Raw genomic sequence first — 25,747 nt, forward strand, 5'->3', positions numbered from 1 at the left:
ACGGAAAGGCTAAGGCAGTACAGAGCAGGTAGGCTATGCTGAGCTTTCTAAGCCATATTATAAATTTAAGGCTTTATCCTAAGGTCAATGGAGGAACCAATGAAGATTTTTATTCAGGGGTAACATGAACACATTTGAATTTAGAAAAGTTATTCAATAAAAGAACTTAAAAAAAGAAGTCAAGAAGAAAGGGGCTACCAATATTCTTGCAGAGAAAGGTTCAGTATAAAGAAAGAAAGAATGGAAGACAGAGAAAGGCACAGATCTGGAAATCAGTATGCAACTATTTTTGAGAACACAGCTCGTAAATTTTGCAAGGTTACACAGTTAATAAGTGACATCTACAATGTGAACATAAGGTGTTAACTCCAAGATCACAATTCACTACAAAATCACAATGAAATACATTTTATGGATTTTAATTCTACACAAATGGTAACAGGTTCATTAAAATAAAACAAATTTTTTTTAAAAGTCTCCCAGAATCATTATACTTGTTACTAACTACAAATTATATACATATATGGAAATAGACAGTCCTATACACACATCTATATATCTATGTTTATCTATATCCATCCACACACATATGTTTGTTTCTCTAAAATTCAGATTTTCCAAGGCATAATTTGGTGTGGATCTTTAATAAACACCCAAGACATAAGTACCAAATTATCATGAGTGCTGACAAATACTGTAACACTAATGTGAAAACATTTTCATTAAGTTATTGTTATTTCAACAACCAAGTAAGATGAATGCTCTGAGGTCTTTCTACCCATTAGTTACATCACTGTTAATTTGGTGGCTCTACAAGATTGAAAAACAATGAACCACTGTTCAGCATATGCTATGGGTCTATAATAAGCAATATCTTCTTTGGTTTGCTTCATGAATGTAAACTGTCAGATACATCCAAGACATAAACAATGCTTTCTTACTGGGTTTTAGAGTTACTCAAAATGCATTTCATATACAAGGTGCTCTCACCAGCACCACTCCCGCCTCTCACAAAAGAAAAAAAAAAACCTTCTGGGTTCTAGAACTTAAATTTTTTGGTTTATAACTAAACCATATAGTACAAACAAAAATAGTTAATATTAAGCTAAAAGCAACAGTAAGACAACATGTCATGATGTTAATACTTTTCACTTTCTGTTGTAAATTTACAACTCCAAGAAAATGTGTAATTTGGGTTTATTCAGATGAGAACATGGAATGAATTACAGTACATCAGACAACCAACATATAAAATGTTTTGATAATTTTTATATTAAAAATTAAGCCAGAATTTGTTATATTGTTAAAGCTAGGTCACAAAAACATTGAGATTCATTATGCTTTCTCCTATTTTTGTACATATTTAAAATTGTCCATGATAATTTTTAAAACTCAGCCCAAGTCTTCATATATTCTCTTGGGAAGGTATTCTCTCAGGAAAGCTTTTGATTTCTCCAAAGAAAGAGTAATCAGAGTTTGCATGGGGTTGGTATAAAACAGAACTGCACCAGTGAATTCACTAAACGGAATGTGGAAAGTGGCATCTCTATCAATCCCACTGCTTAAAAACAAACTTAAATATCAATTTAATCCCAATTAGCAACAGAAAAAGAACCAAAGTCCACAGGACAATACATATTTTTTTAAATCGCAATCTGACCTCAAGCCAACTTTTGTACAGCCATGGTTTCTGCCACACTGCAAATTTGGGGGTGCTATAATTTTCCAAGAACAGAATATATCCATATCTCCGTGCTTTTGTCGTTGGTGCAGAAGTCATTAAAGGTTGAGAGCAGAGCAAAGTACTTAAACAGATTTTTCTTTGCACCATGGAAGACTAAACTAGAGAGAATAAAAGGAGAAGACAGGAAGCCATATAAGAATTTTTTGCATCAGTCTAGGTAAGAAATGAGGCTGACTTCAACTGGAGTGAAAATAAAGGGAAATGAATGGGTTTAAGATATATTTGAAAACATAATTGGTGGATTGGCATAGCAGATGAGAAGGAAGATAAGTAAAAGATTACTTTCAGGTGTTTGACTTGTGAAATTTAAGGTACGTTGAGATAAAGAACACCAGAGAAATAGACTTTGTATTTGGTAGAGAGAGATCAAGAGTTAACTTTTAGGTATGTTACATATTAGGTTGGTGCAAAAGTAACTGCAGTTTTTGCCATCAAAAGTAATGGCAAAATATCCTAATATTAGAATACCTGAGAGACATACAAGTGGAGAGAGATCAAGTAAGTTAAATATTGGGATAGGTAACTGGTAGGGAGATAGAGAAATGAAGATCAAGGAAGTGTTTTAGGTTTTAAGATGTAATCACTATATGTCAAAGCTACAGGGATCTAAGACCTACAATTTTGAAGCACGTTACAATCACTCTATCAACTGAAAACTGACTTGAGGTGTAACTTTTCCAAATAACATTTGTTATTAAATTATTCAACATATCACATAAAAATACCACATAAAGTTACTCAGTTTATCTTGGATAAATTTTCCTGACAGAATAAGTGATCAAACCTGGGGGAGGGGTGCACCACACACACCAATAAAGTCCAAAGCCACCTGTGGATCTTCAAATGTTAAGAACGCAAGAATGCAAAGGTGCTACATGCATTCCTGCAGCAGAAACACAAGAGCTTTTGAACCAAAGCACAGAACTTGTAAGTAGAAGGGAACTCCATTCTATAATTGCTTTCTCTGGGAAGTATTGGTGTACATATCCTTGCAATGACTGGCTTTAAGACAAACTAGCAAATAGCAATGTGTTGATCCGATTTCAGTCTATATATACTGACTCCACCTACCACATATACTAAATGAAAATACATGTATTATGTGAAAACATATTATTCATATATGGATTTCACATTGTACTAGCCCATTTTCATGCTGCTAACAAAGACATATCCAAGACTGGGCAATTTAAAAAAGAAAGAGGTTTATCAGACTTACAGTTCCATGTGGCTGGGGAAGCCTCACAGTCATGGCAGAAGGTGTAAGGCACATCTCAGAAGGTGGCAGACAAGAGAAAAGTGCTTGTGCAGGGAAACATCCCTTTTTTAAAACCGTCCGATCTCATGAAACTCATTCACTATCATGAGAACAGAGCAGGAAAGACCCACTCCCATAATCCAATCACCTCCCACCAGGTTCCTATCGTGATACGTGGGAATTGTGGGAATTACAATTCAAGATGAGATTTGGGTGGGGAAACAGCCAAACCATATCATTCCACCCTGGCCCCTCCCAAATCTCATGTTCTCACATTTCAAAACCAGTCATGCCCTCCCAGCAGTCCCCCCGCAAAGTCATAACTCATTTCAGCATTAACTCAAAAGTCCACAGTCCCACATCTCATCTAAGGCAAGTCCCTTCTGCCTATGAACCTGTAAAATCAAAAGCAAGTTAGCAGATACAATGGGGGTAACAGACATTGGGTAAATAGAGCCATCCCAAATGGGAGAAATTGGCAAAAACAAAGGGGCTACAGGCCCCATGCAAATCCGAAATCCAGCAGGGCAGTCAAAGCTTTTTTTTTTTTTAGATGGAGTTCCACTCTTGTTGCCCAGACTGGAGTGCAATGATCTTGGCTCACTGCAACCTCCACCTCCTGGGTTCAAGCAATTCTCCTGCCGCAGCCTCCCGAGTAGCTGGGATTACAGGTGCCTGCCACCACACCCAGCTAATTTTTTGTATTTTTAGTAGAGACGGGATTTCTCTATGTTGGCCAGGCTGGTCTCGAACTCCTGACCTCAGGCGATCCACCCGCCTCAGCATCTCAAAGTGCTGGGGTTACAGGCATGAGCCACCACACCTGGCTAGCAGTCAAATTTTGAAGCTCAAAAATGATCTCCTTTGACTCCATGTCACACATCCAGGTCACACTGGATGGGTTCCCATGGTCTTGGGCAGCTCTGCCCCTGTGGCTCCGCAGGGTACAGCCTCCCTCCCAGCTGCTTTCACAGGCTGATGTTGAGTGTCTGCAGCTTTTCCAGGCACATGATGTAAGCTGTCAGTGGATCTACCATTCTGGGGTCTGAAGGACGATGGCCCTCTTCTCACAGCACCACTAGGCAGTGTCCCAGCAGGGACTCTGGGCTCCAACCCCACATTTCCCTTGCACACTGCCCTAGCAGAGGTTCTCCATGAGAGCCCAGCCCCTGCAGTAAACTTCTGCCTGTGCATCCAGGCATTTCCATACATCTTCTGAAATCTAGGCAGAGGTTCCCCTAAACCTAATTCTTGACTTCTGTGCACTCACAGGCTCAACACCAGGTGGAAGCTGCAAAGGCTTGGGGCTTGCATCCTCTGAGGCCACGGCCCGAGCTCTATGTTGGCCCCTTTCAGTAATGGCTGGAGTGGCTCGGACACAGAGTACCAAGTCTCTACACTGCACAGAGCACAGAGACCATGCATCCGGCCCATGAAACCACTTTTTCCTCCTAGGCCTCTGGGCCTGTGATGGCAGGGGCTTCCGTGAAGACCTCTGACATGCCCTGGAGACAATTTCCCCACAGTCTTGGGGATTAACATTCGGCTCCTCATTACTCACGCAAATTTCTGCAGTGGGCTTGAGTTTCACCTCAGAAAATGGAACTTTCTTTTTTTCACATTGCCAGACTGCAAAATTTCCAAACTTTTATGCTCTGTTTCCCTTTTAAAACCAAATGCCTTTAATGGCACCTAAGTCACCTCTTGAATGCTTTGCTGCTTAGAAATTTCTTCTGCCAGATACCCTAAATCATCTCTGTCAAGTTCAAAGTTCCACACATCTGTATAGCAGGGGCAAAATGCTACCAGTCTGTTTGCTAAAACATAAAAAGAGTCACCTTTGCTCCAGTTCCCAACAAGTTCTTCATCCCCATCTGATACCACCTCAGCTTGGATCTTATTGTTCATAACACTATCAGCATTTTTATCAAAGCCATTCAACAAATCTCTAAGAAGTTCCAAATTTTCCCACATTTTCCTGTCTTCTTCTAAGCCTTCCAAACTATTCAACCTCTGCCTCTTACCCAGTTCCAAAGTCACTTCCACATTTTCAGGTATTTTTTCAGCAGTGCCCCACTCTACTGGTACCAATTTACTGTATTAGTCCATTTTCACACTGCTGATAAAGACATACCCAAGACTGGGCAATTTACAAAAGAAAGAGGTTTATGGGATTTACAGTTTGAAGTGGCTGGGGAAGCCTCACAGTCATAGTGGAAAGTGAAAGGCACATCTCAGATGGTGGCAGACAAGAGAAGAGAGCTTGTGCAGGGAAAGTCCCCTTTTTAAAACCATCAGATCTCATGAGACTCATTCACCATCACAAGAACAGCGCAGGAAAGACCCATTCCCTATAATTCAATTACCTCCCACCAGTTTCCTCCCATGACAGGTGGGAATTGTGGGAGTTACAATTCAAGATGAGATTTGGGTGGGGACACAGCCAAACCATATCACATATATTATTATATTATATGAAAATACAATGCTCTATATCCTACTCTGGATAATGGTCCCATAATCCAGTTAGGCCTCCTAAACAGAAGCTTGGAAATGATTCTCTGTTCTTTCTCCTTTTTTCTGTATGGCCATATCTAATCAACAACTAAAATCCGTTTATTGTAACTCCTCTTGTAATAGTCTCCCCCTCTTCTCTGTTTCCACTACTACCCTCAAAACTTGCTTGGTCTATCTTGACATCTCCTGATTTGCCTGTTATATTCTCCATACTAGCAGAGTAATCTTATAAAACCACAAATTAAACTATATCACTCCCATGCTTAAAATTCTTCAGTGGTTTTTCTCCACCTCTAGTGTAAGTGAGTTAATTGCCTTATCTATAAAGTAGGATGAAAAATATAGTTCCTGTCTTATAAGACAGTTATGAAAATCAAATAAATTCTAAGTATAAGCACTTAATGCCTAATCCACAGTAAAATAATTTAAAATAATTACTACTATATCCTGCTTACATGTTTCTTCATGATTCAATTAAACAAACTATCTTTTCTCATTTCCCACAATCATCTTATGATTGTTCATGGACTCATATAAGGAAACCTCACCATTCCCCTCCTTTATGCTACAAATTTAATACTGTATATGCTTCTATTATCGCATTTATCGTATTCTGTAGTCAGAGAGCCTTGTTTTCCCCAGGAGATTGTGCTTCATGAAGACAATCTAATACACCTGAGTCTCCTAGTACAATGCCCTGTCCATAAATAATTACTGAAAAAAATTATGAGGAAGAAAATATAAGCAAAAGGATTTTAGCAGATGGCCATGCTTCTTTCAACACTGAAAATACTATTATTCTTTATATAAAATAAAGGCAGCAATTTTAGAATGGGTCTGAGGAATGAGTAGGTCAGCAGAAACTCACTCTGACAGAGGATGAAAGGATCTGTGGGCTCAGACTGTTAAGAGTGAAAAGTTAGACAAGCAAGCTAATATGTACTCATAGGCAAATTCTATTCTATTTATGTGCTATGCCAGAACACAAATACTAAAAGGTTAAGAAAGCAAAGAAGAAAAAAGTAATTATTGGGCTGATCCCAAAAGAGTAGTATGTAAAAAAAATACAGGATTTTACCAAGAAACTACTTTTCCATACCCTAAATTGGCACAGATAAGTACAAGGAAAGGAAGGTTAAAATGAAACAATTAGCTATATCCTATTAATTCATCTGCCATTCTTGAGGAAAGTTCAAAAGAGATGGAAAGGTATTGCTCATCATTCTTAGAATTAGGATAGAAGGTAACTTTATATCCAGACTAAAACTTAACACTGCAAGTCTGTGCCATGGAAAAGCCTTGCCCACTAACTCCATGTTCTCATCATCAGTTGTAAAAGCAAGAAAAAAATTAGTGGATATTTTCTCTGATTAATCCATCACAGGGGAATCCTTATCTCTGACACTGTGCATTCAAATACAGAAGTCCCGGTTCTCTCTCACTCCAGGACAGGAATAAAAGGCTGAGGAGGCCTAAACCCAGAATACTTTTTCCCACCCCTGAAACTCAAGTTCTAAAATAAAATGAAAACAGCACTACTAAAGTTTTAGATGTAACAATCTGACCAGAAAGGATGAGACTTGCTAATTTTTAAATGAGGTTTGACCTGGTATAGTGGTTAAGACTGGATGTGAATTCTACTTTTGAATTTGCTAGGCAGAAAGACTTGGGCAAGTCACTTAGCCTCTCTAAGCCTGAATTTTCTCATTTGTAAAATGAAGATAAAAATTGTACTATTTCATATGGAAAATTATATGTGATAATACATATAAAAACTTAGAATCTGCCTAACACACGGTAAGCACTCAATAAATATTATCTATCATTATTTCAAGGGGCAATTCTTGGTGCTGGAAAATCTGTAAGACAACATGTATATTACTAACTATGGTAGTTAGGGCTGAAAGTGATTAATTCACAAGAACATACGTAGACTAATGACACTGTTTTTAAATACTTTTATGTTTTAACAATCTTTAACTTAAAAGTTTTAAGTATAGTAAGGAAGACCTTTATCTTCCCAACCATTTGAGAGTAAATGTCTACATAATGACCCACCACTCTTGAATTCCTAGTATTTCCCAATTCTCTCACAAAAACAACCATTAAAATCAGGAAATTAACGGTAATACACTATGCTCACTGCTACCGTACTGCCACTGCTCCTAAGCCCCTTCTCAATGACCAGTATAGGGCATGTGTATGTATACATACACATACATTTCTATATCTATATATGATGAAAACCATGAGTTCGCACAAGTACTTCATTTCCTATCCAACACTACAGACAGCATTCTAATTTTCCCTACTTTCATATTAGTAAATCCCTTCTCAGACAATGAGAAGCCTGGCTCCCATTATTCTTAATACTGATCAATCTTCATGTACGTAACCAATCTCCCACTGTAGCTGTCTCTTTCCCTACACGGACACCCTCCTCACCTCTCTTGGCCCCAAAATCCCTACCCCATGTATATAATCTCCTTACCCTGTTCAGGTCCCTATTCCTCATGCCTGGCATCCCTCCTACAAGAATATCCTCCCTACCCTGCTCAGGCTATGAAATCCCATATTGTACCGAGCTCCACTGAGAGGCCTTCCTCCCTTTACCCTCAGGCTCTAATACCTTGGACTCAGATACCTCTATGTATGGACTCCCTCCTCATCTCACTTGAGCCTTAATATACCTACACCAGGCTGCAATCCTACATGGGTCACTCCCTACCCCCTGGTATCTACTGGGGCCCTGAGAGCTCATGCAGGATGACATCCCACCCCAAGTAGATGTCCTCCTTGCTGGGACCAGCTGACCTTCCCCCATACCAGGCCACTCTCCTTCACAGATACCATATCACCCTGCTTGGGCTCCAATACCCTGCCTTAGCATGCCTTCCAATGGAGAGGTGCTCCTTACCCTTCATTCCATCAACCCCCATGGACACCCTCCTCACCCTATAAGGTTCTGAGATCCCACTCCTCTTACATGACGATGTGGCTCTGCCTCCCACGCACCCCACCCAGTGTGGATACCTACCCTTGTTTTCTCCCACTTGATGTTTTAGTACTGAGCTGTTCAGAAAGGGAGGAGGAAGAAGACATTGAAGAACAATTAATTATATTTTAAAAAAAGAGACACCAGTGAATAAACTGTGTAAGCACCTATAATCAGAGCTAATTAAAACAACAATCTATTTGTCAGAGTACCTGCTTTTTTTCCATGTAAACAGTGCTCTATTCTTTTACACTAATTCCTTCTAAGTTTAAAAAGTTAATTGAAAATTATAATACAGAAGAGAGCACTGGGTTTCCTTCTAACCAAACATGCATTTTACTTAAGTATCTTACATAGGCCTGTGGAAAATCTAGTTAATTTAAAAAGAAGAAAAAACCCTACTAATTTTATTTTGAGAGTTTAAAAAATACAGTTGTTCCAAACACTAAAATATACATAAATGTGTGTATGGGTACATATATATATGTGTGTGTGTCTGTGTGTGTGTGTGTATATATATATGTATGTATGTATATATGTATGTATGTGTGTATATATATATATTTGAGATGGAGTCTTGCTCTGTTGCCCAGGCTGGAGTGCAGTGGCATGATCTCGGCTCACTGCAACCTCCGCCTCCCGGGTTCAAGCGATTCTCCTGCCTCAGCCTCCTGAGCAGCTGAGATTACAGGCACCTGCCACCACGCCTGGCTAATTTTTGTATTTTTAGTACAGACAGGGTTTCTGTACATGTTGGCCAGGCTGGTCTTGAGCTCCTGACCTCATATGATCTGCCTGTCTCAGCTTCCCAAAGCGCTGGGATTACAAACGTGAGCCACCGGGCCCGGCCATAACATATTTTTTAAAATATCCAGAACAAGTAAATTTGACTTGTTTTCAGAATATTAACAGTTGTATTGTTTCCAGTATACTTACCCCCAGATACAACCCTGCAAAAATTAACAGCCATGATTGTTACAATACCTTTCCCTTGCTCCTGGTTTCTATGAGGAAGGATGCATCAAAAGCACAACCTGAGCCTCTTTTTACCCTTAGCTAGTAAAGTGAATTATCCGATTGGTGATTCTGGATTTGAGGAAGAGCTCAGTTCTATTCCTCTTGCCCCTGGGGTTGAGCTTTCAAAGGAGAACAAACCTCCAAAGACTCATATTCAGCTCTGCTTCTCTACTGAGCCTAGGACTGGATGGATAAGTCAGCCTATGCCAGACCACCTGACTCCCCCATCAAGCTATTCCTCTAACCTGGCCTGTATCGGTAATAGAAAGATTATTTTGGCTTCCATCTTTCTCCTTGTTTTATTTCTCAAGTTGTTCAGAGCCCAAGCAGAATGTCTTAATACATTCAAGTGAATGAAGACTGCTCATTTTCCCAGTTTTGATTTAAAAGGGCTGCTTTAATTTGAGCTTCTTAAAACTATTGCAAACAAAAAGCCCTCAAACCTGCACCAACAACAGATGTTCCAAATGAAAATAAGCTGACTTATCTGATCATGCTTATTACCCATTTTAAAAAAAAAAAAAAAACAACTTCAAAGGCTTACAATTTCCTCCTTGTAGAAGCTATAATTTATACTTCCAGTCCTACTTTCTGCTGCTAACCTATAAACCAATGGCACTGTAATGCTAAATATTTTCAGAATATATCATTATTTATACTTAAATATATTTGCTTATACTATCTCTGCCCATTCCCTCCACTCTACTTTCCTGCTGTATCCTTTATCCCAGAGATCAGCAAACTATGGTTTATAGGCCAAATCCACCTATTTTTATAAATAAATGTTACTGAAACGCAGCCATGCTTATTAATTTATGTCTTTCTTTTGGACTACAACAGTGGAGGTGAGTAGCTGCAATAGAGACCAGATGGCCCACAAAGCCTAAAACATTTACTGTCTGGCCCTTTAGAGAAAAAGTTTGCCAATCCTTGCTTTCCCTCAATGTTTTGAAGCCTAGTCATTTTGAATCCTTCAAGTCAAAATTAATTGTTCCCACTTCTGTCTTTCCATTACATTACACCAAGTCTAATATTTAACATCCCTGATCACTGTGAACTCTTTAAAAGCAAGGTAAATCCTACTCCTGTGTAAACAGTAAGCTTTTTGAACCACACCACAGTTCCTGTCTTTTCCATAAAATAGAACTCCCACAAACACTTTTCACATTCTTGGGGGAAGTACTTTGGAAGAAACTTGGCTCTTTTCTCTACTACTTATTCAGTTCTCCCAAAAGAAGGAAGAATAACTAATATTGGCAACATCCTTACAGTTGGTCCCTAGTGGGATGGATTAATGTTTTAAAAGTCATTTTTCATTCACGGCCAAGCCTCCTGCTCACTCCTACCAACAAGCATGGTAAACTCACTAGGGTACAGCTTCCTTGTATTTTAAGACGCCTGCAGCTCCAGCTGTACTGTCTTTGATAGGCTGATAAGTTCAATTCAGGGAGTCAGGCAGTAGGGCAATCTAATGTCTAATTTTGGCCTCAGTTCCAAGCCAAGTTCCTCAATGCAACCTTACCATTTTAAAAAGCTAATATTTTGATTTTTTATTCCAAAGTCTATTTCTAGTTCAGAATCCAGTAAAGAAGAAACATAAAATTATACCCCCAAGCAATGGTCACACGTAGGACTCAAGATAAATGATGACTGACAACAGTAAATTAATTGTAGAAAAAAACATTCTTTTAAAATGTGTAATGCACCAATGTTACACATACCACATCTCAGTAACTTGATTAGGAAACTTTTTTGAAGGGGAAAAAAAAATACATGTAGAATCCATACTAAGAGATTAAAACCAACTCTATCCCATTTCTTTATCTAATATATTTGCCTCAGTATTTTGTTACTATCAGCTCTCAGCTTAATGAAATTAACATATAAAAGAATCATGGTTATCACTGATACAGAAAAGTATTCCCCATCTTACTAAGTATGGTAAATGGTAACGCCCATCTAAAAAACAAATATCCCTAGACCCCAGATGTCTCCAATTACTGCTGTATTTATCAGTTCTTCCTCAAAATATAGCTCTTAAATTAGTTTACGACAAATGTTATCTCCACTTGCACATATCTTAATTACTTTCTAACCTATTATAATATGGCTGCCATCTCCCTCACTACTGAAATTTATCTAGTCAAGGTCACCTAGAGCCAAAAACAATGTACACTTCCCTGTTTCATGGTACTTGACATCTCATCAACACGTAACAATCCCTCCTTATTGTAATATTTTTCTCTCTCCTCTTGGATTTGGTAATACCACTCCCTCCTGGTTTTACTCTTCAGCCAGTGACCTTACTTTGAGGTTTCTCTTCTTCTGCCCAAGGAAGGCTAAGATTCCTTAAGGTGTGGTACTGAGTCACCTACTAGTTATACTATCTAAACTATCTCTGATATACTCAAGTTATACTCTAGATATACTGTCCCCTATTCCTAAGTAATCTCATCTATTTCTGTGGATTTAAATATCATCTTTATGCTGGTAATTTTCTAATTTATACCTTCAGCCCAGATACTACTACTACATAAATATTATAGCATCTTTCATAGGAATAAAAATGGCAAACATTTGAGGACAGATATTATCCCAGTTTCATAGGTTTCCATCTGTAAAAAGTGGAATGATTTGTGCCTAATGTTACAATGATAGGGGCTAAGAAGAAACTGGGTTATTTCCATTAAGTCCTTTCTACCACTTGTGAGGACTTATTAGTTACTGTCACTAAACAGTTTATAATTTAAACATGAAGACTACTGGACAAAATTACGTCCTATGTGCACACCTTGCACATACTAGTCAGAAAAGAATTGGCCAATTTGAATTAATGGAGAAAGCTCTTAAATTTGCTTTTCAATAAATACTTTAGAAAAGCCTCTAGGTTGCAGTTGAATTTTTTTTTTTTTCGGAGTCTTGGTCTGTCACCTAGGCTGGAGTACAGTTGCATGATCTCATGCACTGCAACCTCCGCCTCCCGGGTTCAAGCGATTCTTGTGCCTCAGCCTCCCGAGTAGCTGGGACTACAGGAATGTGCCACCATGCCCAGCTAATTTTTGTATTTTTATTAGAGATGGGGTTGTGTCATCTTGGCAAGGCTGGTCTCCAACTCCTGGGCTCAAGTGATCCGCCTGCCTCAGTCTCCCAAAGTGCTAGGATTACAGGGATGGGCCACCGTGCCCGGCCTGCAATTTAATTTTAAAGGCGACTGAGGATGGAGGGTAGAAGATATAAAAAGATACTCAAGAATTTGGGGCAATGTGGATAAAAAAGGACAAAAGTCTATGAAAAAGGTTGAGTTGTCTAAAGAAGAAACTAGACAAACTGAAGAAGCAGGCTGGTAAACTATGACCAACTAGATAAACATGGCTGGCAGCTTTTATTTCATGAAAAAAAGACAAATGGGAGATACTACAGCTTTGTAAACTATGAAATCAAAGCAGCTACTTTAAACAATGATTTACTATTGGTTGTAAGTCAGACTGAAAGACAGTAAAACCAGCAATGCAGACACTGATATAAACCAGAATCTTATCTGGATCTGTCCTAATGCTTACTGCATAAAAAAAAAAATTGAATCCATGAGATACTGTAAAGAAAGTAATAATAGCTTGGCAACAGATTAAGGTAAAAAAAAGAAAAGTAAGACGCAAATGTAGCAAGCAGGATAGGGTTGCTGCCAATTATGGGGAAACTATATGAAAGGAAAGGAGATGAGACACAGACAATTCCTCATTTTAAGTTTTGTTTTCTATCAAACACAAAAATTCTCAAAACAAAATTTTTATTTTGCTTTAATTAAGAACAAAGTGGTATTCTTCAAATACAAAGATGGCATTAGTTTGTTAATCAGTTTTCTATGGGTAGCAGTAGGCTGGTCTGGGCCCCCCATTCACATTCTCTTATCTAGATTGCATTGTGAATAAAAACTCTTGCAAAGATTACTTGATTACAGATTCAGCTCTTAAGTATGAACTCTATACAGTTAGGCAGGTCCTTAAAATTTTGGACCTATGTCCTTGGTGCTCTGTTATCTATCAGCCATGAATGCTAGTTATATATACCAAAAGGAAGGAATACTACTAAAAAGAAAAGATAGAAACTTCCCACCAAAAATGTAGGTTATTACAATTGAAAGATGAGATTTACTAATGAGGAATAAAAAGTTACATAACATAACCAAAAATCTATATATCTTTGTTGCTCCTCCCAAGACTGCACTATGACAGAAGAATTAAAGACCAGGGTTGAAAGTCAGACAAATGAGAGGAATGTAGAGGACACATAACAGCAATTTATCATGCGCACAGCCAATCAGGAAGCAGCGCACCCATGTAGCCAAACAAGGGATGTAGTATGTGCACAAAGAGGGCATCACACAAAAAAGACTGGTTAAGACCAGTCTGTAGCCCATATCTAACATTTACAAAATATAAAATTACACACTGCTTGGTTCCAAAAATGGCAGAATTTTACTCTTTCAAATATAAAAAGATCCAAGAGTACAGAGAACTTCAAAATTTGCATGCAAAATTCATCAATATGCCTATTTTACAGAAAGACTTGATACATGTCTTAACCATCCAACTACTCATCAGCATCACAGATTCCATTTGTCCAATGCACACTATTAGAAGGTGCCACAATTTACATCTTTTAAAATAGAAAACATTTGATAGTGCTTGAAAAAAACAGCTGTATAAACAAAGTCTTTTGGATAGCAGACCCATCCATACCAGTCCCATCAATCCAGATTTCTAAGTAAATCTACTCTTATGGGGTTTACATGGCAACAGTGACAAGATGAGGGAGAAGTTAGTGGTAAGATAAAGGAGCAGGAGACAAGAAGCATCCAGAAAGTAGCAACAAGTTGATTAACAGGAAAAGTAAAATAGAGAGTAGATACCGACAAAAAGCAACTTCAAGATGATCTAGTATGATATAAATTTTTTAAATGAGCTAAAAATAATTTATTGTATTCAGTTACCACATAGCCAAAAGATTCCTTTCGGTATCAAAGGCCTTCCTGGTTTCATACATAAAAAGCCAGGATTAGACTAAGTGATACCCTGTGATTCTAAAACTATAATTCTATGGCTCTAGAATAGTCTAGAATACAGACCATTCAAGCCCTTACTATCTTTTCTTTAACATGTTCCATGATCTTTTCACTGTTCATCAGGATTCCTACCAGAAAGAATCTATTGGCAAAAACGTTAAGAGTTCAAAGCTGCTAATAACCTGTGTAAACCAATCATACTAGCAAACACTTAGGGAATGCTTTCTATATGAAAGACACATATCAACATATATTAACACAAAATTAGCAAACAACCTGATTATCTCCAATTTACAGATTAAGAAACTAAAGTATAGACAGGTTAAGCTATTTGACCACACTGCTAAGTGGTAACAACAGGATTCAAACACAAGTAGTCTAGCTCTAGAACCTTTATGTTTATTTGCTGTTTTACACTACCAAAATAAAAGATTTGAGGAAAAATAAATTAAGCTATAGGTTTGGTTATTATTAACAGGCTTTAATTAAGTGGTATCATGGTAATCAAGAGTTGGCTGGAGCAACTACTGTACAGAACTGAACTATGCAAAGTGAAAGCCATTTGCTACATGTGACTATTAAGCCACCTAAAATGTGTCTAGTCCAAATTGGGATGTGCTATCAATGTAAAATACCTGATTTTGAAGACTTAATATTTTTGAAAAATATAAACTAACTCAATAATTTCTATATGGATTGGTGTTAAAATGATAATATACTTAACACATTAGGATAAATATGCTTTTTAAATGTGGTTATTAGAAGACTTAAATTTACATGTTTTACTTCCATTATATTTCTACTGCACAACACTGTTATGTAGGAAAGATACTGAAGTTTACAGAATGATTCTAAACCAATCTTTGTCATTCTGTTTTGCTGCTGTGCCCTTAGACAAAATGGTTACAGTGATTATCAGCTTCTGTATCATAAAAATCAGGTTTAAAAACAGTCCTAAAACCTACTGCTTATATTTTGGTATCTAAGTCTATTTTCCACTGAAAAGAATGGAGGTAAATTTGGAAAAGGAGCTCATGCCACAGCTTGGACAGATAAAATACAAAATTAAGCTGGAGTATCTTGTTTTTGCAGAAATAACACTGGAACCAGCTTGATGAGACACCCATTGGCCAAACCTGGGACAATTTGTGAATCAAAATAATGACAGCAATGGATTTAACCACTGAATAAAATTAAAAATCCATGAGTTCATACAGATAAAAACAACTGAGTAAATAATGGAGATGGGAAAGATTACCTTATGTCTGAATGTCAACTAATAATTATAGAAGGAATGAAGTCAGATAATCATCAACTGATGCTAAAACTTGTGGGTGAAACTTTGATTATACTATGTAAATATACTGTTCCCCAAAATAATTTTTCCACAAATTGCATATTAGTTACAATGAGATAAATAATAACTTTCAGGGATACATATGAGGAATACCAGCTTAACAAAATTTTCAAAGCTAACATCACCAACATTGGTACACACCAACATCATGAATCTCAAGATATGATGTACTAAGAAGGGCAGAACATCTCTTAAGTGGTATTCCTGCCAAAATGCATAACCAATCTAATCATGAGAAAGCAACAGATAAATTCAAATTGAGGGACATTCTACAAAATAGCTGCCCTGTACTTTTAAAAATGTCAAGGTCAAGAAATAGTAAGGTTGACGAAGTGTTCCCAATTGAAAGTGACTAAGGAGACATAATTACCAAATGTAATGCATGATCCTGAAGTGGATCCCAGAATAAGAGGAAAAAAAGCTAACAGAAAAAATAGATAAACAGATATAATCTGAATATGGACCATAAATTGGGTAACAGTGTATCAGCATTAAATCTTCTGGTTTTAATAACCTCACTGTAATTAGGTAAGACAGTATCCTTGTTTTTTAAAAATATACACTGAAGAATTTAGGGGTAAAGAGGTTGATGTCTCTGAATTACTCTCAAACTGTTCTGAAAAAATATAGAGAGATCAGTATAAAGCAAGAATGATAAACACAGCAAAATGTAAAACAACAAATGTAGGTACATAGGAGTTCTATTCTTCCAACTTTTAAGATTGAAATTACATCAAAATACAAAATTTTTAAATATTGGCCAGTCTCCCAGATCAGATATCCTAATGGACTATACAAGTCCTGATGATGTTTAAAAATATACAGGTGTATTTATTTTATTCTAGACCTGTTTTAAATTGTATGACTTATCAAATGCTAATTATATTATACATTTCATAAGATCCAGGACTATATTTGCTATTTCTCAATATCATAGTTAGTACTAGGATACTATTTACTACATCCAATAAGCACTCGAACATTTGTGACATGAGCTACTGAAAACTATAACACAGTACAGTATAGGATAATTATAGAAAAACAGTCAAATTATAGAAAGTACCACAATGTAAGTAGAGATATTAATTGGGACAAAAGGTTGTAGGACAACTCTTCAATGAAAAGAAAACTATGTGGAATGAACCAGAACAGTAGTTAAAAATCTAACATAAAGAGATGAATGCCACAATTAGAGGAAGGTAAATATCTCATTCCATATTAAGAGTTAAACGTTTACCTTTGTGGCTAACTACAAGCAGTCATGACAACTAAAACAACTTTCTACCCTATAAAATTAGAATATTATATGAGTTATAAAATGAATCAGATTAGAGTTAGGCTAAGAACTGAGATTCAAAATCTCATTAGGGGCTCAATACTAATTTGCTGTACAACCCTGAGACGCTGCCTACAATTCCATATCTCACTTAAAATTAAGATGTTTGGATCATTTCCTTTACCAAAAGACAAGAAGGATATTATTTTATAAAAATGATTGTAAGCAATGAGAGCACCGAATATTATATATATACTGAATATACACATATGTGTACGCATATATATTCACACATGTATACACATGCAAAGGGAAAATAATATGGCTTTTTTATAAATATGTTTATAAAGTAATGAATGTAAGGCACATTAATAGCAAAAGGTAATTATCCAAACTCCATTTAATCCCAATTCACACTATAAATAAGTGCTTAACACCTAAGATGCTAAAAAAAGCCCAATCGACAAGTGTATACTCTGTTTAAATGGATGTTATTGTTTATTTTAAAATAACAATGGGATTCGAGACCAGCCTGGCCAACATGGTGAAACCTAGTCTCTACTAAAAATACTAAAATTATCTGGGCGTGGTGGCGGACGCCTGTAATCCCAACTATTCGGGAGGCTCAGGCAGGAGAATCGCTTGAATCCAGGAGGCGGAGGTTGCAGTGAGCTGAGATAGCACCGCTACACTCCAGCCTGGGCGACAGTAAGACTCCATCTCAATAAATAAATAAATAACAAAGAATATGAGACAGGTTTTAATAGGGCTTAATTAGGATGGAGACTGTGGGAAACAATTCTCAAATATAGTTAGAAGCCAGGGACAAAATTTCTTTTCACATACGATACAATGTAATCACATATTGCAATAAAAGTGTAATACAGTAGTAACTTTCAATGTCTTCCAATTTTACTTGAATATACAAGTAGGTAAGGCAAAAAGATATTCTAGTCCCCTTTTCCATCAAATCCAATGAATTGTGTTTCATTTAAAGTTTGACTATTTTTCAAGTCTATCTATTTTTATGATGCAAAGCTATACTTAATGTATCTAAATAAGCAAGAAGACCAGAAAAAAAAACCAACCAAAATATTCCAAAACATAAAAAGACATCCTCAAATCACTTTGTGCCTTGACAAAACTTAACAGTAATATCATAAGCCAGTGTTGCAATGCTGTCATCCTACCTAATTCTACCTAAATGAGCTCAGTAATTTCTAAATTGGTTTCCAGAAGAGATCTTTACATAAGCAATTATCAAAAACAGCCCATTTTGTATTCAAGAAGCACAAACAACAATATTTAGTTTTTTAAACAATTTATATAAAGAATACCTAGAGGTTTTTTTTTACACTTCATAAACTAAAATCACTTACGAATACTTGACTAAAGCTATTTCTCATCATCTTTCCTTAGAGAAGACCAAAATACATTTTTCGTAAGGGCAAAACAAAAGCAGTAAATTACTTAAACATCACTTAAATGCCCCCTAAAGTAACCTTCCTTTCTCATACATTTTCCTATATTCATCGCGTTCTGCGGTACACATTTCTGAACTGAAATTGTATTAAGTTTAACCTAATACGATCTCTTCTCTACTAGTCAAAAAAAGATCTTAAGACGTTAACCAAATACATGGGAGGCGGGGTCGGGGGTGCGAGGTGGTGCCAGAGCAGATGGAAACAAGGTAAGAGAGTTGTTTTCTTAAGACACTAGGGTTACTCCCCAACTCCAAATGCCAAGATTCACTCGCCAGTAGAGCAAGCTGCTGCCACTATCCACTGCTTACACAATACAACCTTCCTTTCTACCTCTTCCCCTACACTCCCACCCATAACCCCCTTCCAAAACAAACACCCACAACGCGCCCCATTCCATAATCCGTGTTCGCCCCTCTAAGCCCACTAAACCAACCTGCTGGATAACAGCTCTATGCATTCGTCTTAGGCAAAAAAAGAAAAAAAAAAAAGCGACTGCAGCAAGGTCGGGAGTCCCACCATTCCTGTCACCCTAAACAATCCACAGGGTGAGAGCCCCAAGCCCAGAAGTTTGAGGCAAAACGATTCAGATCCAACCAAAAAGAGGGAATTGCAGTTGAATGGGGATGGGAGGTGGGGAGGGCGATGCGTATGCGTGTATATGTGTGTGTGTGTGTAAGGAAGAGTCCATCACATGACAGTGAAAGAGGACCAGAGTCGTCGGGGCGTCCGCAAGCAGACGGGGGGGAGGGTGTCGTTGCCGTGGCAACACCCCCCATCCGTCCAGACTTCCAAAGAGGGAGGAAGAACTTCAAATCCCAACCGTCAGCGCTCAAGCGGCTCCTTCTTAAAGGGGTACACACAGCGCCGCCGCCGAGCGCGAGAGGGCAGAGTTGGGCGCCCCCCGCCCCTCGGACGACGCCCCCGCCGCCCCTCGCCCCCAGCCGGCCCATCAGCGGCCCCCGCCCTGCGAGTGCCCGTGGGTCTCCAGGTCCAGGTCCCCGGGAACTGGCCGCGTCTGCTCACCCGGCCCCCGGCGGCGACAAGGGGGTGTGTGTGCGCTCGGCGGGGGCGCGGACCAGCCCGCCTTCCTCCGGCCGCCCTGCCCGCCGGCTCTCCTCCGCCAGGGCGCCGACCCACCGGGCCGCTTCCTCCGTCCTGTCAGGGTGGACGGCGGGCGACGGCGGGCAGCGACGGGCGCCGAGGAGTTTCGGGGAGAGAGCGAGCGGGCGGCTTCCGCGGGGGCTCAGCAAGCGGGTCCAAACTAACAGTTCCCGGGGAGCCCAAGAGCTGGGAAGGCGAAGGAGCGCGGACCGCGCCGGGCCAGCAGCCCGCAAGACAAAAGGCGAGCGCCGGGGCCGCCGCGCCGCGCCGCTCCCATCTCGCTCCCCCACCGAACTAACCCGAACGGGAGATTCAACTAAACCCCTCAGCCACAAACTCCTCGGGCTGCGACAGCGGTCGCCGCGCGGAGCCCGGGGCCCCGGCCCGCGTCTCTCTTACCTACACAGTGCATGAGGCGGTGGCGCCAAGAGTCGAGTTCCCGCCGGAATCCTCTTCTCTCCGCCGCGCACCGAGGGCTCCGGCACTGAGCGGCGGCGGCGGCGGCGGCAGCAGCGGCGGCGGCAGCGGCCATTCTCTCTCTTCCCTTGTCCATCTGCGTCCCGCGTCACGCGCCCTCATTTACATACGAGCAGCGCAGGCACGAGGCAGGGGCGCGAGCCCTCGGCGCGAGCCCCGGAGCGCGCGCCCCCCGGAGGGGGGTTGATTGACACGTGTCACTACCTTCCCTCTGCCCTGCCCTCCCCCTCCCACCGCTCCCTCAGGGAGAGGCGGGGAGGGAGCCAGAGGAGAAGGAAGCAACCTGCCGCTTCCGCTGACCCCGCCTCCCCACCCACTACCCTCCTCCCCCTCCCGCTGGAGTTTACTCAGGCGAGCCATACCGCTCCCGCCGCCCGCGAAAACCCTGAGCGGGAGCGAGAGACCCGGAGCCCAGCCAGGAACCGGCGTGCTAGTGGAGCGGACTAGCAACGCCTACTTTCTGCCTTCACTACGGGACTCCGACAGTCCGGAGACTTCACTTCCCAGGCTCCATTTCGCCAGGATCCCGAAGCTGAACTTGGCGCCGTGGCGCGTTGCTTGCCGGTCATTGTAGTCCAGAAGAAAGGATTTTTTTTGTTTGTTTGTTTTTCTTCCCCCCCGCACTTGGGTATGCAGGCTGGCCTGCAACTTCTCTGCGCCGCGCCGCTGGGGGGCTGAGTCTGTCGCTCCCTGCGCCCGGAACCATGCGCTGCCCGGTGGCCGGGTCTGACCCGACTGCTTTAGCTTCCTTAGGCTCCGCGATAGAAGGGTGGTGGAAGCCGCAAGAGTTGTCGGCTCCTTGTGGGTTCAGGCTGCGCTTTGCGTTTTAAGTGCTGGAAACTTTCCGGGGTCGCTGTCTTCCTGTCACTCCGCAGGGAAAGGGCAAGCCGGTCATTCGGCTACATCTGGAATAACTGCCAAACGTCCAGAGAGAGATCCCGGAGTGACTTCGGTATTCAAGGCGAAGAGATCTCGGAAAGCCAGAATATTTGCAAGGACTAGGAAAAAGATGCGGGTTTTTTTCACTGAAAATTACTTGCAGGGGACTGGGTGTAGCCGGCTGAAAACTGCAGAAGGAAAATTTTCTTTATAAGCTCCTGGAGGGCAGCGACCCACTGAGATCTCTGTACCGTGACATCTGTCACTCGCTAGACCCTAGTACAGTGCGTGACACGGGATTAAGCACTTTACAAAGGTTAATGGAATGAATTCTACCACGTGCTAGAGAAAATAACTTCTTCAGAGAGAGCTAGAGAGGAATCTTACGTTTAAATACAGACTCCAATCACAGTTTTTACTTTTGCACCAGAGCGATTGTGCGTTTGTTTCCGTATAAGTGCAGTTTATCAAGCCGAAGCTAAGCTACCCAACGTTTGCTAAGAAGTACTGTGTATTTCTGGAAATTTATTCACAAGTCTGTGGGAAATATGTTTAATTCTTCTTGGAAATCTCATAAACTCTGAATTCAGTACCACCTTCCCTGTTTTGTGGCTTATCCTTATCCACCTTCTTTTTCTTCCTATGAGAAAGTATTTCTTTGCTCATTATGACTTCAGTAGTGAAGATGTAATTTTGCATCTTCATAAGTTAAAAATAATAAAGTTTGAACGCATAATCACCTTTTCTAGAACGGTCACAATTGGAGTGCAGGTGAAATCACTAGTGAAGGTGATTTTGGAATTGTCAGTGGATGGTTTTAGTTAACCACTTCCACTCACAATTGCCACGATGATCAGCCTTTGCAGTTTTCCTGATCACTTTTATAGTAATCTACATTAGTTAGGATGGGAAAAATTATGGTGCAGTAATAAATGATCCAAGAATCTTAGTGGCTTAAAACAACAACAAAAAACTATTTCCTGATTATCTACATGTTCATCTCTGGGTGGCAGGAGGAGGGGGCTTCATTCCATGTGGTCTCACTAAGCAACTGGATCCTTAAAGAGGCTGGAATCTCTGCAACGTCCCCCCTTGGGTGATAGGCAAAAGGAAGATGAAGAATGGCGAACTGGTTCTTCCTAAAAGTGATACAAGTCAGTTCTCACATTTCATTGACCAAAGCGAATTATTCGGGCGTATCTATCTTAAAGGGAGCAGGGAAGTGCGATCCTATTATATGTGCAAAAAGAAGATAACCAGAATTTATTGGTAAATAGTATCAAGGATTACTGTGATCTATCCTTCTGGTCACCAGTTTACAGTTCACTTTCTTCACACTACAAAATAGATTTACTCCTATCACAAAGTGAGACAATCCAAAAGTTCTGTTCAGTAAAGGCATTAATCTCAAAGTCTGGCATCTCTGGGTGATGGTTGGTAGTCTCCATATTGGAACTGGATAAAGCTTCTCTTGTTATAGACAACTAAAAAGATAAGGTATTCTCCCCAGATCTCTCTCACTCGCGATCTCTCTTCTCTCTCTCTCTCTCTCTCACACACACACACACACAGACACACACGCACAGTGATGGAATAGGGACTAAATAGACATGGTGTCTTAGTCTATTTTGTGCTGCTGTAATGGAATACCGCTGACTGGGTAATTTATATGAAGAGCAGACATTTATTGCTCATGGTTCTAGGGCCTAGAAAGTCCAAGATCAGGGTGCTGGCATCTAACAAGGGCCTTCTTGTTACATGGCCCCACAGTGGAAAGGCAAAGAGAAGGCAAGTGAGTAAAAGGGGGCCAAACTCATCCTTTTATAATGAACTCACTCCTGCTATAAAGAATCCACTCCCTTGATAATAGCATTAATCCATTCACTATGCCCTCATAGCCTGTCACTTCTCATTAGGCCACAGTTCCCAACACTGTTGCATTGGAGTTTATGTTTCCAACATGTGCTTTTTCGTGGGCAAATTCAAACCACAGCATATGGTAAACATTCCTGTTTAGAAAGGAGAAAAATGGGAGACACACATGAACCGTTTCAGCAAATATTTTACGACAGTTAGCATCTCCAACTTTCCAGCCTCTGACAATTTCCTTGCTACCACCCACTGAGCCTCTAAGTTAAAGCCACATATTTTAGATTTTCTGTTATAACTGTACCTCCTTCTGGGTGCCAATTTATATATTAGTTAGAATGTGCTATGTTCTGCTCCAGTAACAAACCCAAAATCCAGTAAACTCAAAACCTCAGTGATTTAATACAAAGGTTAATACAAAAGTTTATTTCATAGTACACTATCTGTCTTCCAAAGGTCAGTGTGGAAAAGGGTGGAAAGAACATGAGCCCTATAAGCCTCATGTCCATCTCGGGACTGAGGCTTCTGGGGCTATGCCATTTGGAAGCTCCCCAGTCACCATGACGAGAAAGATGATGCTAAATCACAGTCCAACTCTTAAAGGCTTCTACCAGAAGTGACACATTTCAGTAGATGAAGCAAATTTTATGGTCATGCCTGACTTTTAAGGAGTTATATATTAGATAGCTTTGAGGGCAGGACAAACTACCCCACAACTTAGTACCTTGAAACACCAACTAATCATTTAGCTCATAATTCTGTGGAATGAAAATTTGTGCTAGGCTCAGCTGGACATTTCTGTTGGCCTCTACTGGACTCACTCAGGTGTTTGTGGTCAGCTGCCTGTCAGCAAGGCAGCTCTGTTTCTGAGGATTCACTGACTGTCAGCTAGGAACACAGAGCAATGAGGCCAAGTATCATCAAGAGGCCAGTCCTAGCCCTAGCTTATTCACATGGTGGCAGTCAGAGGGATCCAAAGTGCTGCAAGAGAAGAAGTCCCCATGCACACTTTTCAAATCTCAGTTTGAGTCACATTTGCTCTGGTTTCAATGGCTAAAGCAAGTCACATGGCCAAGCCCAGAGTCGATATGGGGAGATAGATTCTACCTCTTAATAGAAGGATCTGCAAGTCACATTGCAAAGGGATTTGGACAGAGGGAAATAAATAATTTGTGGCCACTTTTGTAGTCTACCACATTTCGGGAAGTGCAAGATTACCCTATTCTCCAAAAAAAGGAGAACTAAAGATATAAACAGAACTAATGAATATCACATATCTAGAATTTCTGGGAGAAGATAAAGATTAAGACCAGAAATATTGAAATACACAAATGGAATTAACTTTGGAATTCAGCGTCACTTTGAAGAGCAAAGAAGTTTCCACAGAATGTATTATAATTACCCAATGAACATAAAAATAGGAGTCTAACTGATTAACCATTACATTCTAAGTATCAAGTGCTGGGCCAGGCACTAATATGGTGTCTAATATTTATTTATTGGTTTGATACATGTTTGAGTTATCTATAAGTTCAAGTATAAAAAGAGGGCCATATCAGCCAGGAGCAGTGGCTCACGCCTGTAACCCCAGAACTTTGGGAGGCCGAGGTGGGTGGATCACCTGAGGTCAGGAGTTCGAGACCAGCCTGGCCAACATGGTGAAACCCCATCTCTACTAAAAATACAAAAATTGGCTGGGCGTGGTGGTGGGCACCTGTAATCCCAGCTACTTAGGAGGCTGAGGTGAGAGAATCGCTTGAACCAGAGAGGCGGAGGTTACAGTGAGCCAAGACGGTACCATTGTACTCCAGCCTGGACAACAAGAGCAAAACCCCGTCTCAAAAAAAAAAAAAAAAAAAAAGAGGGTCATATCAAAAATTGTCTCCTACACTGAAAATCCAGTTACTCACAAAGGATTTTCATATAACAACAGGTATATGATATGAAATGTTAATGTTCTTTGGAAAAATAATTTTGTTCTACTATCTACTTCCTATATATGTTGTACCAGTTATTTATTGCTGTGCAGCAAGCCAATCCGTAGGGTAGTTGCATAAAGAACAACCAGTAGATAATATTCACAAGTCTGCAGGTCAGGTGGGCTGTTCTGCTGATCAGGTGAAGCTCTGCACATCTTACCTGAGATTGCTAGTCCTGGAAGCTGCGTGATCTAGAATGGCCTCACTCTTGGTGTGTAGTTTGGCTCCCAGTTTGCTGGGGTAATGAGAATGACTGAGTCATGTGTCTCTTACCATCTAGAGACTAGCTAGAGCCAATAATTTATGTAGTAGCAGCATGTGAAGCGCAACATAATGATAAGTACTAATGTAGAAGTGCTTTTCAAGTCAGCTTGCATCATGTTCTGCTTGCTACTATCCTATTGGCCAAAGCAAATCTCATGGTCAAGCCCAAAGTCTGAATATAAGGACACTAACGAATGGCATGGATTCAGAAAGGTGTGAACAAATCTGAGTCATCACTTCAAACTACCATAAATAACTATCCAAGTTCACTATTATCCACCTAAAACTGATGAGCACATCTACAGAGTTCTTAGACAGCACCAAGACATATAAATTGCAGGGCCAAATAACAGTTTATTAATTTATTTACCACTTAGTCAATTGCAAGCTAGGGTGCTTTTTAGGAGGACATGATATAACAAATACTAATACATTGGAGTAGTTTGAAATACATTTCCATGATAGAGA

At 40.0% G+C, this 25,747-nt stretch overlaps 1 protein-coding gene across 20 annotated transcripts in view, besides 3 other annotated features; it reads right to left on the bottom strand.

Annotated features, from left to right (window-relative positions):
* The window catches only part of LCORL (ligand dependent nuclear receptor corepressor like), a 180,689-nt gene extending 160,201 nt beyond the window's left edge, over positions 1-20,488 (bottom strand). For 12 of the 20 annotated variants that reach the window (NR_158568.1, NR_158567.1, XM_017007965.2 and 9 more), the window contains exon 1: positions 20,211-20,488. Coding sequence is in view for 10 of the 20 variants with exons in the window: in XM_017007965.2 (XP_016863454.1) it covers positions 20,211-20,364 (154 nt within the window). In the remaining 10 variants the exon portion in view is untranslated. Of the gene's footprint in view, positions 1-19,143 lie in introns of all 20 variants that reach the window. The other 8 variants (NR_158563.1, XM_047449965.1, NM_001365658.1 and 5 more) reach the window with 4 other exon arrangements.
* Positions 19,580-19,909: a silencer, noted in NCBI's record as "silent region_15313". NCBI's record gives its function as "represses an Ori minimal core promoter by ATAC-STARR-seq in GM12878 lymphoblastoid cells {active_cell/tissue: GM12878}" and the evidence as "EXISTENCE:reporter gene assay evidence [ECO:0000049][PMID:35858748]".
* Positions 20,230-20,689: a silencer, noted in NCBI's record as "silent region_15314". NCBI's record gives its function as "represses an Ori minimal core promoter by ATAC-STARR-seq in GM12878 lymphoblastoid cells {active_cell/tissue: GM12878}" and the evidence as "EXISTENCE:reporter gene assay evidence [ECO:0000049][PMID:35858748]".
* Positions 20,740-20,999: an enhancer, noted in NCBI's record as "active region_21357". NCBI's record gives its function as "activates an Ori minimal core promoter by ATAC-STARR-seq in GM12878 lymphoblastoid cells {active_cell/tissue: GM12878}" and the evidence as "EXISTENCE:reporter gene assay evidence [ECO:0000049][PMID:35858748]".

Source organism: Homo sapiens, chromosome 4 (assembly GCF_000001405.40).
Source record: "Homo sapiens chromosome 4, GRCh38.p14 Primary Assembly".
NCBI classification, from domain to species: domain Eukaryota; kingdom Metazoa; phylum Chordata; class Mammalia; order Primates; family Hominidae; genus Homo; species Homo sapiens.